This window comes from Homo sapiens, chromosome 22 (genome assembly GCF_000001405.40).
Source record: "Homo sapiens chromosome 22, GRCh38.p14 Primary Assembly".
Taxonomy (NCBI): domain Eukaryota; kingdom Metazoa; phylum Chordata; class Mammalia; order Primates; family Hominidae; genus Homo; species Homo sapiens.
Window position 1 is genome coordinate 34,868,878 of NC_000022.11, and position 19,864 is coordinate 34,888,741.

The window sequence follows — 19,864 nt, forward strand, 5'->3', positions numbered from 1 at the left end:
AAATATTGATTGGTTAATTGATGCTCTTGGAGGGCAGATATCTGTCTGTTTTTCATAGCTATATTCCTGGTGCCTAAAATAGTCCTAGCATATGACAGCATTTTACAAATACATGTTAAATAAATGAATGAATTGTTTTGGGATGACAGGATATTTCTTTCTGCCTCTAGGGACTCACAGACACCAGAGCTGGGTTACAGGTATTCAAGTAACCCAGCGTGTACCACCATCAAAATAACACCTGCCATTTATTGAGGTGTTCCTTCACTGGCCTTCATTCATCATGTCTTGCATAAAAATACCAAAGAAGCTCAGAAAATCAAAGGCAGAGTCAAAGGGTCTCAGAGGCTGGAACTGGGTGGCTGTTTAAATTCCAACTCTGGTACTCGCCAGTTCTGTTGCCTCAAGTGAGCCCCTGAGTCACAGTTTCCTCATCCATAAAGCAGGTATAATATGTGCACATTTTGGAGTTGTTATGAAGATTGGAGATAATGCTTTCTTTTTTGTTTTTTGTTTTGTTTTGTTTTTTGAGACAAAACCTTGCTTTGTCACTCAGACTGGAGTGCAGTGGTGAAAGCTCGGCTCACTGCAACCTCCGCCTCCTGTGTTCCAGCGATTCTCATGCCTCAGCCTCTGGAGTAGCTGGAATTACAGGCGCCCGCCACCACGCCCAGCTAATTTTTGTATTTTTAGTAGAGATGGGTCTTGCCATGTTGGTCAGACTGGTGTGGACCTCCTGACCTCAAGTGATCTGCCCACTTTGGCCTCCCAAAGTGCTCGGATTACAGGTGTGAGCCACCACGCCCGGCCTGGAGATGATGCTTTCTGAGCACTAAGCACAGTGCTTAGTATCATGGCAGCCATGATTAAGAGGAGCTCAATGAGGAGGTGACTGTGGAGAGTGCACATCAGGTTGATGGAATCACCAGGATGGAGCATCCTCCACAGCATAAACCTAGTAACAGGAATGGCAAGTTGCAGATGCAGCAGGGAGACCCAGACAGGACCCAAGATGGAGACAGGGCTTAAAAGATTTGGTATCTGTTCCAGGCACTCAGCTCCTGTGTGCAGAAGTAAGAGGGCCCAGAATGAGGCTAAATATAATACATTTAAGATCCAAGGACCTACTATACAGCCAGAAACAGATGATGTCTAACACATGTGAATGAATGTATTGGCATTTGGAAGACAAACTCAGACACCAGATTCCTATCAATATACATTTATAGACACATAGATATAGACATAGAAATAGGTATAAATATAGATAGGTATGTTGTCTTTCATTCTTCTGTGGAAAGTGTATAGCCAAAAACAAAAAGGACCTTTTCACCAGGACTTCCAAAATGGTCTTTCTTGGAGTGAAATGACTGAAAATCCAGCCCAGGTTTTCATCAAGCCTTCCAGCCCTAGGAAGTAGAATCAGTGAGGTGGTGGCTTCCAGGGAGAATGGATGTTTTCAATAAAGGGGCAAGCTCTTTCCTTTTGTGGGAAGTTAAAATATATTCATTATCAGCTTTGAAGTTCACACAGAGTCAGCAAAGATAGTATTTATAAGCAAGGAAAGTTTATCAGAGACTAGAAACTCTGCTTTTCCTAATGATTGAGTAGCAAACAATGGTATGAGTTTATCTGTAGGGCTTCACAAAGAAAGTTGAACTCCACTTCTCTATTTCCATTTCTAGAGAAAGCCTGGCATTATTGTCCTTCCATGGGGGAGATTTTTCCTAAGTAAAATATTTCCTAAGTAAAAGCTCTACTTCTTGTTACAGGCCCACAATAAAATAATAATAATAAAGAAATACTTTTCCTCTTTCCAGTGTCCTCCCCCCATTCACTATCAACCACTCCCTACCATAAGTACACACACATACCCTCCAGAATGCCTAAAATTTCATCATTAGGAATTCAGCTTTTTGTGCCAGGCTTGTTTTTCTTCCAGCTATCACCATATAAAATGCAAATAATCTAGAAGTGGAAATAATACTGGAGTTTACATTTAGTTAGCAACTTGGTGTTTACAAAATGCTTTCACTTTCATTATGTCTTTGAAGTTGAACATAGTCTTGAGCTCAGCATACCCAGAACCAGCAAATGACAAAGATTCAATGTTCAGGGAATATCTCTTGAGTGCATAATTGAAATGAATGAATGAACTGACACTATGACATTTGTAAAATGAGAATTACTGTCTCCATTGAAACAAAAAGTCAAAAAGGTAAGTGAATTGCCCACAGTCACAAACAAGTAAGTGGTAAACCTGCAGTTTGAACATCTGGTTGCAAAACTAGGGAAGCGAAAGCTACCATCTTTCCTTTGGACAAAAGTGTCTGAAGCCACGTGAGAGTTAGCTGAGTACAGCAGGATTGGAATGGAATAGGACATTGGGTGAGGAGAGGTGGGCAATGCTGAGCTTGGAGCTGAAAGACCTGGGCTAATCATGCAATCTTGAACTTAACCCTTCCCTTAGCTTTGTTTTCCTAATTTGCAAACTGGAGATAATAAGATATTAATGTGCAAGGTTGTAATGAAGATCTAAATAAATACCAACTACAAGAGGACTTTGCAAACCTGTAAAGAGCATGCAGATGCTAATAAATACAGAGTTAGGAGGCGATCAAACCCTGAGCAGCCCGTAACTTAGCTTAGTTACTTACCTTTAACTCACTAAAAATAAATCTTAATAGATCTCTATAGAAGTAAAAGAGAACCACTTTTCCTCTTTTTATATTCCTACTTCCCAACCCCACTCTCCTTTCATAAGACGGACGACTCTTGCGTGTATTTGTATGTCTGGTTTGGGGTGATTCTTTCTGACACCGTTTTATCCACTATTTTGCTTTCTTGCAACTCAATGTGTTCCTTGCAACTTTTTCAGTTTATTACTTCAAACTTAATTTTTACTGAAAATTAATTAGAAAAAGCAAATATTACAAAATAAGCTACATGAATGAGAAAGCAATTCATGTTTACTACAAACAGATAATTACAAAAGACCTGATGACTGCATACCTCAGACCACACCATGGCCTGGTCATTGGACTCTGTTCCAGGACTAGCCCTGTTCTTGGGTTTATGATAAGACATCCACTTCTAGCCTATGCCACTGAACCCTCCTGCCTCCCAGAAATTCTTATTTCTAGGGCAAAAGACCTTGCACAGCTTCTTTTGTTTAGAGCTAGCAGAGAAATTTAATTTATATTTTCCTAAGACATCAAGATTTGCCTCCAGTGCCTCACATTGCCCTGTGGAAGCCCCAGTGACCTTTCTTCCCCAGAAAGCCCAGTGCTGGCCGTCCCCTTTGCCCAGCTCTCTAGACTGCAGACATATCAATTCAGTTAGACTCAGAGAACTCTGACTCTCAGGAACTTGAAGAGGCAGCTCCTTCAGGTGACTAGGAAGCTTGCGTACAGAGACAGGGTGGCTTGGCCAAAGTCACACACATAGAATCATACCACCTGTGTGAGGTGAAAGACCATCTAATCCCATCAGCATCCTCTCCATGAGTGTCCTGAGTCTGCAGGATTCCTGACAAGCATCACTCATCCATCCAGCCTCTCCTTGAACACCTCCAGCAGTGAAGAAATGAAGAACTTAGCACCTCCCAAAGCAACCCATTTTATGTTTGTTTATCTCTGACTCCTGGGAAGTTATTATACTAAGCTGCGAGAGCTGCAATCTCTCTCTCTGTCTCTCTTTCCATCTCTTTCTCTTCCTCCTTCTCTCTCTCTTTCCCTCCCTTTGTCTCTCCTTTCATCCCATCCCTCCCTCTCCCCCAGTTTTACTTATTTACTCTGGCCCTCCCTGTTGAGGCCATACAGGATTGGTCATCTCCAACAGTAGAGCTAGAATTAAAACCAGATCTCCTGACCTGCATTTCCTATTCATCCCACCACACTGTATAACCTCCCTCACCCTACAATACACACATGACAAGGAAAGGTAAAGGATTTCCAACAATATCTTTAGCAGCATATTATTTCCCTATTTGTATTATGAATATAATATTTAATCCACCACTCATTCATTCATTGGATTTATTGAATATTTTCTTTGTACCAGGCGTGGAGCACCAAGCATTAAAGAACATAAGGCCCTTGAGATCAAGAAGGTGGAAAACTCTAACTAAAATGCAGTGTAATAAGGGCTACACTAAGGATCCCTGCAAAGTGCTATGTGAGCACAGAGGAGAATGTTGCTAATTGGCTGAGACTAATTTCATCAAAAATGTCTTATTTATTCTTATATCTCCAATGCTTGTCCTGTAGTAGACACCTCAACAAATATTTGAATGAATAAATGAAGTGACACTTTACCAAGCTTTGGATTATAAGGAATTGTTCTCAACTTAGAGAAGAGAGGAATAGCTTGTACATTCTTTGTGATGCTAGGAAAGGAATTCATTTAGGACATATATTAATGTGCTAGAGCTGTGTATTAGTCTGTTCTCATGCTGCTAATAAAAACATATCTGAGACAGGGTAATTTATAAAGGAAAGAGGTTTAATGGAATCACAGTTCTACATGGCTGAGGAGGGCTCACAATCATGGCAGAAGGTGAAGGAGGAACAAAGTCACGTCTCACATGGTGGCAGGCAAAGGGAGCATGTACAGGGAAACTCCCATTTATAAAACCATCAGATCTCATGAGATGTGTTCGCTATCATGAGAACAGCATGGGAAAGACCTTTCTCCATGCTTCAATTACCTCCCACCGGATCCCTCTCATAACATGTGGGAATTATGGGAGCTACAATTCAAGATGAGATTTGCATGGGGACACAGCCAAACTATATCAGGCTACCATAACAGTGTACCACAACTGGGTAGCTTAAAACAACAAAAATTTATTTGCTCACAATTTGAGAGGCTGGAAGTCCAAAATCAAGGCGTCAGCATGGTTGGTTCCTTCTGGAGGCTCTTGTGGTCATCTGTGCCATGCCTCTTCCAGCTTCTGGTGGTTGCTGGTGGTCTTTGGTGCCCCTCAGTTTGTAGGCGTGTCACTCCAATCTCTGCCTCCAGCTTCACATGGTGTTCTCCTTCTGTGTGTGTACAAATTTCCCTCTTCTTATAAGGACACCAGTCATTAAATTAGGCCTAATACTCCAGTATGGCCCCATCTTAATTTGATTACATCTGTAAAGCCCTGTTTTCAAATAAGGCACATTCATGGGTACCAGGCATTAGGACTGACACAGTTCAACCACAATAATATATTGAATAAGATGGGAGATATAGTCACTTGATATATACTTAGTGCCAATTATGAGATGAGCACTGTTCTAGATCCAGAGAGCATGAACAAAACAGACAAGGAACTGCCTTCATGCAGCTTATGTTCTAGCTGTGGGGAGATAATTAACTTGATAATTAACTAACAAGAAAACATGAGAGAGTGCAAAGGACAAACATTGAGTGAGGTGATAAGTAGTGGCTACTTTAGATTGGGCAGTCAGGGAAGACTACTCTGGGGAGTGACATTTAAGGTGAGCTCTGAATGAGCAGCAGGATTCAGGCAGAGGGTGAGTCTCTACTTTAGGGAGTGGCTGTGGGATACCGTAGGGGCAGAGAGAAGACCAGTGTCAGAAGGTTGCTCCCCCCAGTGCATCCACTGCAGTTTCCTCTTGTTACCAAATGGTCACTCTTTTCCATAGTCTCTCTTCCAAATTTACAGGGAGCTGGTCAGATTGGCTCAGCTGATTAGAACTGCACCTACTTGGCTGAGCCTGCCAGGCCACCTCTGGGGGTGCAGGGGGGCTCTAGGAAGGGCTATACCTGATCCACCCAATGGTCATCTCTGTACTAGTCCAGTGCCTTCAGACCAGGGAGTGAGGCAAGACCAGTTTCAGTTAAAGACAGACAAGGGCACATTCAGGAACTTGGCCCACTGTACAATGCACAGACAGAGAGCACAAAAAGAAATGTGTCCCCTGTGAGAATCATTACAGCCTTTGGAGGCTGTGGCTGTGAACAACGAACAGCAATTCTGAGTTCAGCAAAAATGAATTTATTGGCATGGTATGGGACAGTTCAAGGAATCAAATGGAAAGCTGGGGAAACAGCTCTTAAAAAGAATGGGAACCAATACAGCTGGGGATCTGGGAGGCAGGAACAAGTGAACAGTCTATTTGGGCAATTGTTGTTGGAATGAATGGATGCCACCAAGTTTTCCTTGTAGTAAAATTTAAATTACAGGGAGAAAGTATGCGAATGGCCAAGCTTGAGTCTCATGCCCACCCCTTGGCTGTTGGCGGGGCACCCTGATTATACACCAAGACTAGATCAAATGGGCAAGAGAACATCTCCCACAGAAAAATCTGGATGCTCCTTCTGGATGGCCAAAACATCATGTTTATCAGGATAAACACCTGATAAACATGGTGTTTATCAGGCCGGCAAAAGCCACAGTTGTCCTCCACAATTATCAGCACATGCATTTCACCAGACTAGGTCTCTGGTCTAGGTAGAAGAGCCCATGAAGCTCTGTGGAAGTTTCTTGACTTATTAATTAGTGCCATGACTTTCTGCCTATTTATTTAAAAATGTTTAGATGTCCAGTAGTCATGCAGTCCATTTTTCTCCACAAAGGTTTATGCCAAGGTGCTGGCACGCCTCCTTCCAGTCAGACAATCTGATAAGCAAACACATTCGCATTTAAAAGGCAGGTCTGTGAATGGTCTTTTTTCCCCAAGAAGTAATTCATATTAGACGCCTGGTGAAGGCTGGGGAAAATATAACATGCCCTGGTGCTGAATAAGTTGGAACTTCAATGCTGTCAGCAGGTTCTGGATGTGAGCTGATCTCAGATAAAACAGCTCCTTACAGGCAGAGGCACTGGGTCCCAGTAATGCCTGGAAAAATGGAGCCACCCGAAGTGGACTCTCCTGCTTCTCAGGGAAATATCAAAATAGCTCAAATGATGACCCCTCCTTGGGAAAATTCTCACAGTGGAAGAGACAGGTTTCTATGTGCAAATAAAATAACTCTATCCAGGCAGTTTGCCAGGGCAGGGTCCCAGCCAGAGTGAGGGTACTCCCCTTGTCTGATGAGGATGGAGGGAAGGGGGGGCTTAGTCTCTTTTTCTCCATTCATCTTGGGATGTTATCCCACTTCAGCAGATGGGGAAGGAGACTTGAGGACTGCTTCATTCAGTGTGCACAGCCTTGGACCACAAGAAAAACCCTCATGGACACTCAGGTCAGGGAAACTACATTTTCAGGAATAAGAAGTGTCTGCCTTCCACTCAGAAATCTCACAAAAGTCATGAGAACACTGGTTCAGAGTCCACAGAACTAGATGGGGTTCCTGGCTCTGCTATGTACCAGCTGGTAACCTCTGTTTCTTTAGCCCTAAAATAAAAATAACAATCGACCCTACCACATAGGGTTATAAGGAGAAAGAAATTAGTCTATGAAATCAAAGTTCTTGACACAGTGCCCGATGTATAGTTAGTGTTGAATAAATGGTAGGTATCATTGATCATTATCACCAAAGGGGGACAAGCCAATTTTCATCTCCTCTCGAACCCTGAGCTTTTATTTACTGAACCAAATCCATCTCTCCTACAGAAGAAGAAATAGAAGGGGCTTGATTGATTTCCACAAATAGGTACAAAAAAACAGTGTCCTGCACTGGAAATAATTTTTGCTAGTAACACCCTGCATGCTATACATGCCTGAGGGTAATAACAAGCATATCCTTAGAATGACCCTGTATGGCACACACACCTGAATGTATGTTCCAAGCTAGGAATTCCAGGCATAGCCAACCCAGAGATTCATTCGTGGTCTGTGAGGAACATCTGGACCCCAGCCTGTCCTTTGGATCACAGGCCATATAGGGAATTGATGCCCTGAGTTTTGGGTTAAATGAAGATTGCCAGGTGGAGGTCATTAAGGGGAAGGTGTTAAGTGAAAATGCTGTATCAACTGCATGCTGTTTGCAAGTGACTGCAGTTTTCCTGCCCAGCCCACCACCACCAGGCAGTGCAGTTATCTTATCCAGCCCACTGCCACTGGACCATTTCTATATGTAAGGCGATTCTCCTGTCCAGCCTGTCCTGTCCAGCCCGCTGCCGTTGGACTATCCCCTGTATGTAATCCCCTGATGAAACCCTAAGTCTTGGCCAGGCAGGGTGGCTCATGCCTGTAATCCCAGAACTTCAGGAGGCCGAGGCAGGCAGATCACGAGGTCAGAAGTTTGAGGCCAGCCTGACCAACATGGTTAAACCCCGTCTCTACTAAAAATACAAAAAAGAAAAAAAATTAGCCGGGCATGGTGGCACATGCCTGAAATCTCAGCTACTCAGGAGGCTGAGGCAGGAGAATGGTGTAAACCCGGGAGGCGGAGCTTGCAGTGAGCCAAGATGCGCCACTGCACTCCAGCCTGGGCGACAGTGCGAGACTCCATCTCAAAAAACAACAACAAAAAAAAAAAAAAAAAAAAAAAAAAAAAAAGAAACCCCATGTCTCATATGATGGCTCTGTGTCTCTTCTTCAACTTCTTGAACCTGCTGGCTTCCCTACTGAGGTTAATAGGGGTTCAGCACAACACACCCCTTCCACAGTTTTACTAGCCATGCCCACCAACCCCCATCAAAGTGGTTTCTGCATTTCTATGTAGATCTTGACCAAGAAGCTTAAGAAGGCTGAGATTCATCCAGCTGAAGCCCATCCATGAAGATCACCTTCTTTCTTAACCCAGTCCCTAACTGACCTCTTACTATGTATGCATCAAATAGATTATCTGAGAGGCAGCTTGGCAGTCATAGAAAATGCAGACTTTGGGCAAGACATCCCTGGTGAAAATTCCTTGCTAGCTATGGGACCTTAATCAAATGATTCACCTCTCAGGCTTGCATTTGACTTTCAGAGGCATTTTGGGTTTTAGAAACAGTGCATGTGGTTGGGAGTATATAGGGTGTTTCTTTCCCACACCAGGTGTCTCCTGCAAGTAGAAGAAACTTCCTGGCCCCTCTCCTCCCCTTGTTTGTCTTTCCTAGGGAAGAAGAGCGTGTTTTATCTGATGGTGCATTAAAACATAAGTGTGTGTGTGTGTGTGTAGATGATAGAGATGGATGATAGAAAGATAAATAATATAGAGATGAGAGAGAGAGAGCGAGAGAGAGAGCAAGAGATAGTAAAGCTAGATAGACCCTTCTACTCTTTCTAACATGTGAGCTAACTAAAGGAAATTCATCCTTCCCCTGCTACCTGGTGCTTCAGTTTTTATAGGGGGCCTAATCCTGCAAGTCACATTGCCCCTATAAGAGGTCTGCCATTGGTTGAGATTCCCAACACCTTGTGCATTGAGGTATGAATGTTGGGAGAGAGACAAAAAGAGAAATTTAGGGGAGCAAAAAAACATGTAGAGAGCCTTTTAGTAATACCTAGGTGGGTGACCAAGCTTTATGGTACTTGGTGCAGTGCAGGTTATGAGCTGAGCCTCATCCTCATCCTGGGCACATACTTTGAATCCTAGTTTTATGGCTAACTAGCCATGTGACCTTGGGCAAATGACTCTGCTAGCTTTACACAGAGGAAAGGAACAATGAGGGATTTTCCCTTACAGGATCTGTTTGCCTACAATCATCAGCTTTAAAATTTAAAAAGACCCATGTGCTTGTCTCTGGATGCACTGAGGAAGGGGCTGGGGGTATTAGGACCCCCACCACATTCATGATTGGGGTGTTCAGAAATTATAAGATGCTCATCTAGCCTTTTAATTATGTTAATGTTTTGATCCATATTTGGCTATCAACTTCCTATCTTTTCTTTACAGCAACCAGGCCAGACTATGAAGAGCAAATCTTCATTTGTTCACTCAAAAAATTGTTTTTTCTGATATTTATGGAGGATCTACTGTGTGATGTATCTAGATCCTCAAGATACAGCATGAACAAAAAATAAAATTTTTGCCCTCGTGAAGCTTATAGTCTAATGAAGGAAGACAATGAAAACATTTTATAATGTTTATTTCAGGGAGAGGGGGAGAAGATAGACTGTTCAGGTGGCAATAAGTTCTGTTTCCCAGTAGGAAAACAAATGAAACAAGAATCAAGCAGTGGAGAGTGAGAATATTGAGGGCTGTGGCCATTTTATATAAAGACCTTCGACAACAGGCAAGCGTGCAAATGATGCAAAGATGTTTGAAACTGTAATCAGTGAAGGCTAGCTTTAGTTCCTCTTTGTCTGTTCCCCTGGAGCTAAACCATCTCCAGGCCCCTGAGGGGTCTTCTGAAACACATGCAATTCAGACAGGCCAGGTGCAAAGCATGTGCCAGACAGGCAGGCAAAGCCAGACCTCCTTCAGACCCAAGCAGGGAATGAGTTATAGTCAGGGAGAAGTGACTCAGAGAAAGTCTTCACATTCTCCAGCCCTGAAGCGTTTGACCATGGCTGCAGATTGGAATCATCTGGAAAGATTCCCACTCCCCTGCCCCACCCACCCCACCCAAGACTGAGTCTTGCTCTGTCACCCAGGCTGGAGGGCAGTGGCACAATCTCGGCTCACTGCAACCTCTGCCTCCTGGGCTCAAGCAATTCTCCTAGCTGGGACTATAGGCATGCATCATCAAACCCGGCTAAATTTTAAATTTTTAGTAGAGACGGGGTTTCACCATGTTGGTCAGGCTGGTCTCGAACTCTTGACCTCACGATCCACCCACCTTGGCCTCACAAAGTGCTGGGATTACAGGTGTGAGCCACCACACCCGGCCAAAGATTTTTAAAATACGGTTCATCTAGCCCACTCCCAGAGACTCCAACTGGAGTCTAGGGTGGGTCTCATGTAGTGTCTTCTTAAGGCTCCCTAAGTGATTCCAAAGTGCAGCCAGGGTTGGGGACATCTGCCTGGAGACCTATGCAGGGCATTAATCATAGGAGACATGGAGGTGGCAGGATTGGCCTCAGGGGCTGGGGAGTGGAGCTTGTAAGAGGAAACTCAAAAGAGGTTAGAGCTCTTTTCTTGCTGGAAGGTGCTCCTTGGAATTCCTGCTTTGAGGATTGTTTTGCATCTTGGAAGTGCTCTCCCAAAGCAGCTGAAGGTGCCAAAAAGTAGAATCACCACCATCACCATCCCAGAAACTCCCATCCTTGAAGGAAAAACTGGAAAAACTTAGGAGTCCAGAGGAAAGGGGCAAAGTCAAGCCCCCAGAATAGTTGCCTTCCCTTCTAGCCCAGACAAAAGTAGCTCTCGCAGTCTCCACATTCACTACTGGCCCAGCCTAGCTCACCCCCGTAGGAAATGTCACAGAAATCTGAGGCCAACAAACACCCAGTGAGAAATCAAGGGCAGCCACTGCCTCAACTGTCCTCTTCCCTATTGGGGTGATCATGGATCTTAAGGAACTTTTCAGGGGCTGGGGATCTTGGCCAACTCTCTCTCCATTAAACATAGCTAAGGAGTTCATGACAGGAGACAGGCAGGTGGGTGACAATTTAAAAATAAAGGAAAACAATAGCAAAGCACGCACTAGGTACTGCCGTGAGCAAGGATGCCTTCGAATGCTTAACCTGCATCCTATTTGGAATCCCAGCACTATTGGACATGTGCAGTAGGGTCTCCGTTTTGCAGATGACAAATTCAGGGTCAGAGAGGGCAGGTAAGTTGCCTGATATCACACAACTGGCCAGACCTTTCCAAATAGCCTCATCTGGCTCCTAAGCAGTCACAGAGATGGGCCCATGTTGGCCAACACCAGTGAAGACCCTTTGAGGTTGAATTTGTAGACTGTCTCCTAATACCCACAGTCCTGGAGCTGTGCTCTGAGGAGCTGGGGTCACTCATGGCACTGTTGCACACAAGGATATCTGACCTGGCTCCTGGGAACATTTTGCATCTGCCAGGCAAGGCCAAGGGAAACTCCTCCCGCATTTGCTTTTTGTAAAGGAGATTTTGGAGGGTTAAGTTTCCAGCCTCAACAGGCTTATCAGAGAAACTCCCTCTGCTACACAGTGAATCACAGAATAAAGTCAAACCAGCTGGCAACCCTGCTGTGCAGGGAGCCTGAACTTGATTCAGAATCCAGGGGATGAGCAGAGGGTAATGAGACTGGTGGGAGAAGGGGAAGCTAATGGGAAGGACTCATTTCTTGCTTTGTAGGGGCTGCTGCCAGACAGGGTGAGGAGGCACCCAAGACTGACAGCTTCTGCTTATGGATTTCAGCCACACAATGATATTTTGCTTCCCCAAGCACACCCTCAACGTGACCTATATTTGGGTGTAATAAAAATTGCATGCTGGGTGGATTTTCTTAGCAACACATGTTCTTCTGACCTTGCCTGCCAGTTCCTAGGCCCTAAGTGCACAAGGCAGCAGATCATACAGATGCACCCTCTGCCTCCATTCAACCAAGGTCAGTAGCCAACTGTGGGCCAGTCCCAGCGCTTCTCATGAGCCTTTGCACCAAACTCAGCCCAAGGAGATCCTGAGTAGCTGCTCTGGGTCAGTAGAGAATGTCTTTCTAGTTGGAGAAGCCAGCATCTCACCCATGGAGGTATTTTATTATCACTAGATTGCCAAAATGCTCTGCTCATCAAGAAATAAGAAGAGGGGGCTCCGTTTTCCTCCCATCACACCTGTTTCTCCCAGTTGCCCTCATTCAGAGGGCAAGTAGTACATTTCTCAGAACAGTATACAAATTCTCAGATCCAGCCCGATCAGCTCTGTTTCCCTCAATGCTGCCCCACTTGCCCCTGCCTTTCTCGTGCTTTCTCCAAGGCCCTGACTCCAGCCTCACCCTTCTACCTTGATGCACCAACTGGCCATCTTCCCAGTTTCCCATCTTTGGCTTTATTTCCTGAGCTCTCTCATCTTACCTCTGGCAGAGCTCAGCACAGACTGATAATTCAGTAATAAACCTTCAGTCTGGCATGTCCAAGACAGTTACCATGTAATCTAATTGGAGAGGGAAACCCTGGATGAATCTGTTTCATTGCTTCTCATTACCCATTACAATTGGATAATTTTGAGTCCTGAAGACTTTTCAATTCAGTTTAGTGGGCATATACTATACACCTATTATACACTTATTATACATCTACTAGATATGTGTATAGCACTGGGCTGGATGCCCTATGAGACAGATGATGGCACAGAATGTTGGTGCTCAGAGAAACCAGCAAAAGAAATTCTTAATACGTAACCTATGGAGCCCTGGGGTTATTACATGGATGGTTCCAAGTTCTCTAAAAACAAGACAGAAATTTTTATTTCATAAATTTCCCTCATGCTACGTTGTAAATTGCCTGTCTGGGAAAACATTTTTATGTCAAATTATATTGTTAAGGTACTGTTTTCCTCTTAACAAGTACTATAATCATGGTCATCATTTTATGGTATTTAGAATAGAATCTCAAAGTGATAGGAAAGAAGAAAACCTACTTGCAATTATGACTCCAACATGGCTGGTCTAAATCAGTCCTAGCTTGACCTTGAAAATGTCAGCAAAGCTCACCTTGCCCATACTTTCATCACCAAACACGGCAGAGCTCCAACGTGGCTGTCCTTTTGAATGACTGTGATCTTGCCACAGAAAGCTTAGAGCCAATCTAACTGAATTGTCACCTGACCTTTGCCCATTCTTAATCTAACATTGGACAGTATAAGTCACTGGAAAAAGAATGCTCAAAGCAAAGTCTACAGTGTTCTCCTGAATAGCAATGGCAACAACAATAACAATTAAAAAACAACACAGCAAGAATAATGGCTAACCTTCATTGAGTGCTGATTAAGTACCAGGCATTCTGCCAAGGACTATACATATCATAGTTCACTTAATTCTTTTAACACACACACACACACACACACACACCACATTAGATATTCTGTCATTCTTCACGTTTCAGATTTTTAAAAGACTAAGGCCTAGAAAGATTAAGTAGCTTTCCCAAGGCCACACAGCTGGGAAAGGGGAAACCAAGATGCAAATCTTTTTTCACCTACCTCAGAGGACAGCACTGTACCTCAAAGCTATAGCATCTTGCCCGCCACTCTCCTTAATCTTGGAGTAGTGGGTTCCTGTGTTCCATTATTGGGAGAGAAATTTACTGGTGAACAAATGGATGATATCTTGATGCTGTAGGTGACATGGAATGGCTGATGAAGCTAACGTGGTTGCCCTAGGCTGCTGTGGAGCTACGAACAGTTGTCTGTTCTCTTCAACCCATTGGTGGAGGCACCAATCCCATTTCCCGGTGCCAGCATCAGCTCCTCTATCTCCTATGGTGATCTATTTCCCAGACCACAGCACAACCAGCCCCCTCCCCTGCCCCAGAAGTAACTACATCAACCTACTACTGCCTCTAGCTGCATGTTTGGTGGGAATGATTCTTAACTTGAAAAAACTGCAATAATACTAAAACTTGTATTTGGCCCACCACAGAAGCCTTATCTGTAAGATGTAGAAGGTTCTATGGGAGAATTCTGTGACATTAACTGAAATGCTCTTCACCTGTATTTCACAACCCTGCCCTTCACCCCCTGCACCATGCCAACCAGCAGCAAAAACTTTCTGTATGTCCTACCCTCAGTGGAAAAGGATAATACAGCCTAAAACAAAACTCGACTGAGTTTTAGAATGCCAGTTTTACAGCCGTAACAGTGACAGCAGTCTTAACAGCCTTGAGAGAATACTCAAGAGCTGATCTTTGAAAAAAAGAAGGCATGGGCATTAAATAAATGATAAAGAAGCCTGAGAGGAGAGGTAACATATATGACATGGGCTAAGAAGAGGAGACAGGTTACCATACATTTGGAAGAGGGAAGTAAGAGAGTTGGTTATTGAAGTAAGTTCCAGAGGAAAGGACCACATTCTCACTCTTGCCCTTTCCACTTAAATCTGGAAAGGAGAGAGGATTCACAGAAACACCAAATGTCTTGGGGAGATCTCAGAGCATAAAATATCTGTATCTTCCCCTCCAGGGTCCCTTGGGGAGTCTGCAAACCTTGCAGAGAGGTTGTTCCCAGCAAGGCACAAGAGTGGTAGAGTTAACAATGGCAGAGGAAGGAGTCTTGATGGATGGGCCTGAAAGTGGCCTCACAGAATGGTGTCCCATGCACCCCAGTGGGGAAATGGGGGGAAAAGACACTAAGAGTTGCAAAGCGATTGAGGGGAGAGCAGAAGGGCTAAGAGATTGTAACTGGCCCAAAGGGGCCTGAGTTAGGATGAAGAAGAAACAGAAAGCATGGCCTATCAGTGGGAGACCACATAGTACCACAGACACCACAGAAGCAAATGTCAACACATGGTGATAGGGACCCACCTTCTTCAGATATTTCATCAGAGATCAGCACGAACAAAGGATGATCATGGACCAGATGCCCTATGCCCATCTGATTCCTGTCCCTTGAGGAGAAACAAAGGAAAAAGGAGAAGCTAAGCATCTTGAGTTAATTGTGTATTTGTCCCAAAGAGACTGAGTATTAAACTAGACTTGGCTGAGCATACTTGGTTTTGCAAGATTAAGTTTTTTGCCCTTATGGAATTGGAGGCATGAGAGCTAAGACACTGTTTTATACAGAAATAAAGCAAATTAACATCTTTACAAACCTGAGTTGGGGTTTTTGTGTTTTTGGTTGTTTGTTTGTTTGTTGAGGCGGAGTCCCGCTCTGTTGCCCAGGCTGGAGTGCAAAGGCGTGATCTCGGCTCACTGCAACCTCCACCTCCCGGGCTCAAGTGATTCTCTCGCCTCAGCCTCCCAAGTAGCTGGAATTACAGGCACCCACCACCACGCCCAGCCAATTTTTGTATTTTTAGTAGAGACAGGGTTTCACCATGTTGGCCAGGCTGCTCTCAAGCTCTTGATCTCAGGTGATCTGCCTGCTTCGGCCTCCCAAAGTGCTGGGATTACAGATGTGAGCCACTGAGCCCCGCCCAAACCTTAGTTTTGAGGACTGTTGTGACCATGAAAATTCAGCCCCCAACAAGTGCTCATGGAATTGCTAAGGAAAAATAAAAAGCACATAAACAGCTTCATTTTAGGGCATGGTCAAGCTACTTCGGGTCTTGGAACACTAGAAAAAAAAAATAGAAGCATCACTTCTGTTACACGGCATTCACTCCCAAGACATCAAATTTTCTCCAGTATTTTGAAATAGGTCATGGAATTGACAGCCATTTCTCTTCATCTTGCAGCAGTATGTAACTACTGATGTATTTCAATGAAGCTAATTCCTGGGTTTTTAATTTATTTTCACTTACACTATCAATGAAGAAGTCCTATTTTGCAAGTCCCATTGGGAATCTTCTCTTACCATCCACATGTTCACAATGATAAATGGTTTCATTGCCAAGCAATTTACTTAGAGGGAAAAAACGACACTCAGGGCACACACAAACGTAAGTATCTTCATTGCTTGGAAACACATCTGGGATAAGGGGGACCATTTTTCTCCCTCTCATAGCATTCCCACCTAGGCTTATAAATAGTAACATTTTCCCTCTCTTTCCACTTTTTTCTTTATTCCCATGATGGGAAAGGAAGTATCTAGCATTCAGTGATACAATTTTTCCCTACAGAGCAGAGGAAAAGAGTCTCTACCTAGCCCTCTTCCTTGTGTTTTTTTTTTTTTCTCTCTGGCATCCACCTACTCAAAACACACACACATTTTTAAGCTCCTGCAGGGGGACAGCTTCAATTCCAGATGATTACTTTCATTCTAGGAGAGGATTATAGAAAGTCTGTTCAGACTACAAATGCAAAATGGGTTCCCATTCTAACTTCACCAATAATTAAGCTGGTATTTGATCTGCCCCATTTGACCCCAGTGTACTTCTCTCAATTGGCTCTAAACTCAAAAGTGGGAGAAAGGTATAATATATTGGCCCCTTAACTCTTAAAAGGCTTTTGTGTTTTGCAAATATGGTAGATTAGAAAAATGGCCACAGATTAATCTCCTTCCCATATCCACAGCTTCACAAGGTAGTGTTTCTCACCAATAGTTGGAGTTTGGGTCCATGCCTTGAATGTGGGCTGACTAGTACCTTGCTTTGACCAGTAGGACAGGGGCAAAGGAACAAAAACAAATACTTGAAAAGTACTTGTTCTTGTTCTCACAGGCTTGCTCTCCGGCTATTCATGGAAGCCAGCCACCATGTGAACAAGCCCAGGCTAACCACCTGGAGGATAAGAAACCAACATGGAGAGTGAGCTCAGACATGCCAACAATCAAGACCAGGCTAGCTACTACAAACCAGCAGGCCCTTGCCAATCCACCAGCAGGAATGCAGATGCATGCACAAGCCCAGTTGAGATCAACTGAGCGCAGCTCAGACCAGAAGAACCATCAGCTGTGCCCAGCCCAAACCGCCAATCCACAAAATCATGAGCCAAATTAATGGCTGTTGCTTAAGCACTAAATTGTAAGAGAAGTGATACAGTGAAGAAAAAAGCATCAGATGACATTGCCCCTTGGTTGCTTTCTATATCGGTGTGCTCAAGTGTCAGATCCAGCTGATCAACCTCAGAGAACTTCCTGTTATCCTCTCCTTGAACCACCTTTTTAATACTTAATCAAGAAACAGGAGTAGAACTCAGAAGCCCTTATCTTGGGAGGCTCACCAGATTCTAGACACTAAGTCTTAAAGCACTCAATGGAACTTCTGGCATATAGTCACTATTATCATTATTGTTATTATTACTTTGCAGATTAAAATGCTCTTTCTCAGAATAATCTGACAGGGAGAAATTCTTGGTGGACATTTTTGGCAAGTTGGATAAAGTAGTGGTTTGAATTCAAGCCCGGCATTCACCGTTATGGACACTGCCAAAAAGTTCCTAGCATTTCAGCAATTTTCACTCTTCTGAAAGAACTAGGAGGTGGAAAATTATCCTGTTTCCCAGTCAAGAAAAAATGTTTTTGTAGACTGTTGTACACAGTGACAAAACCTTGTCTGTTTCTCCATAAGCAGAAATCTGTAGACACCAGGAAATATAGCAGAATTCTTCTGAGGTTTACTAGTGTGTAGACAGCCTTACGATTGAACTGGATTCATAATCCTTACCTTGCTGACACAGATGGCATCAAGAATGCAGAGCCAACCTCATTAACTCTAGGACAAAGGGGATTATACAAAATAAATTAAACTCAAAGAATCTTAGAGGATTCTGGGCCTCCTTGACACACATCTGACCTTGTGTGGCAAAGTGAGTTCTGGAAACAATAATGGGGTTTGTTACTTACCTTTCTGAGTCACAGTTTGGGGACTTGTTGCCAAAAAAACAATGTTGAAATGATTAGATTGCTGAAATGATGCTGTCATGCAAAGACAGCTCCAACATTTCTATTTCTTTTTTAAGTCAAACAACAGCAGGCTCCTCACTGAAATGTTACTTTTCAGCAGAATTTCAATTTACATTTTTCATTCATTTGCAAAATTTGGATTTATTGCTTTTTTAAGGAAGAAAGCAGTAATATTTTGTGGAGGAAGGCAGGAAATGAGACAAATAATTTTTTGTAAGACTTGTTTGTATGGTCTGTCCATATGAAAAAAATGAAATTCCCATGCAATAAAATAAATTACAAGCAAAAGTTTGTTGGTATATAGTTCCATGTATGTTTCTGCAGAGAGAAATGATAGCTTTTTATCAGTTGATCAGAAGGGGGGGAAAAGGATTAAAAATATTTATCAGAAAGAGGAAATGGGCAATAATATAGCAGTTAAAAAATGTGTTCAGGAGCCAGCTTTTTTTACTTTTTGCCACTTACTAGTAGAGTGATTTAGGAAAATAAAAATATGTCTGAGTTGTTTTAGTAAGAATGTGGCTAATAATGCTTATCCAATAGGGGAGTTGTAAAAATTTGATCAGATCAGATATATAACTGGGATATAGTAGGCACTCAGTAAACAACAATGTACTTTCTGTCCTCTAATTGAGCCCCTTGTGTTGTATTTAAAATCTCTCACAATCCAAACCCAACACAAATTCTCAAGAGTTTCATCTATCAACACTCTATATGTTTTTGTCATATATCCCAGCAGCCCTGGCCTGCTATGTGGTTTCTGTCAACTTCCCTAACCCCTTCTTACCAGTAAAATAGGTATCTACCTCATGGAATCACCATGAGGATCAAATGACATTATATATACAAAGAACTTGGACCAGGGCAGAGTGTATGATAAGCACTCAATAAATATTAACTAAATATTACACTTATTATCCTCATCATCATTATTAGGTACCACACCCTGACCTCTCCTTTCTCTGTATCATCATAGATGACACTTTATTTTTCTCGGCTTTCCTACATCCTGCTCATGTGTAAGTCTCAATTCACTGATCCCTCCCAGGAATGGCTGAGCCACCATGCCCCCTGATCCATGTGCCTCTCCTATCTCACATACCATATCACTCTATGGTTCCCTGCTCATCTGTCTGTCCCTCTAGCTAGTCTGTGAGCTTCTAAGGGCAAGAATGGTGCTTTGTTCATCTCTGTACTGCCAGGGCCCAGCACACAGCCTGGCTTATGGCAACTGTTCAGTGAATAATGGTGCAATTGAGAGAAAGAATAAATGTATGGATTCTATCTCCTTCCAAACAAGCATAGCTCTTATTTAATTTCTTCATTTATTTTAACTATTTTAGTTTTTGGTGGAAAAAAATGATTTAAACTGGTGTCTTAATCCATCCATTCAGGTTGTTAATAACAAAATACCATCGACTGGGTGGCTTATAGACCACAGAAATTTATTTTTTACAGTTCTGGGAAGTCCAAGGTAAAGACAGAAGAATAGTTGGTGTCTGGTGAGGACTTTCTTCCTGGCTCATAGATGGTGCCTCCTCACTGTGTCCTCACATGGTGGAAGAGACTAGTCAGCTCTCTGGTGTCTCTTTTAAGAGCACTAATTCTATTTATGAGGGCT

General features: G+C 43.2%; 2 long non-coding RNA genes across 2 annotated transcripts in view; both read right to left on the minus strand.

The window, feature by feature from the left end:
• LINC02885 (long intergenic non-protein coding RNA 2885) overlaps window positions 1-19,864 on the minus strand; it is a 241,252-nt gene that overhangs the window by 112,213 nt on the left and 109,175 nt on the right. The gene's annotated exons all lie outside the window — the stretch shown is intronic.
• On the minus strand, window positions 4,483-15,348 carry LOC124905109 (uncharacterized). Its single transcript, XR_007068083.1, has 2 exons — window positions 15,264-15,348; window positions 4,483-5,042 (listed from the first exon to the last, which is right to left on the minus strand). It is a non-coding gene; the product is annotated as an uncharacterized LOC124905109 (long non-coding RNA).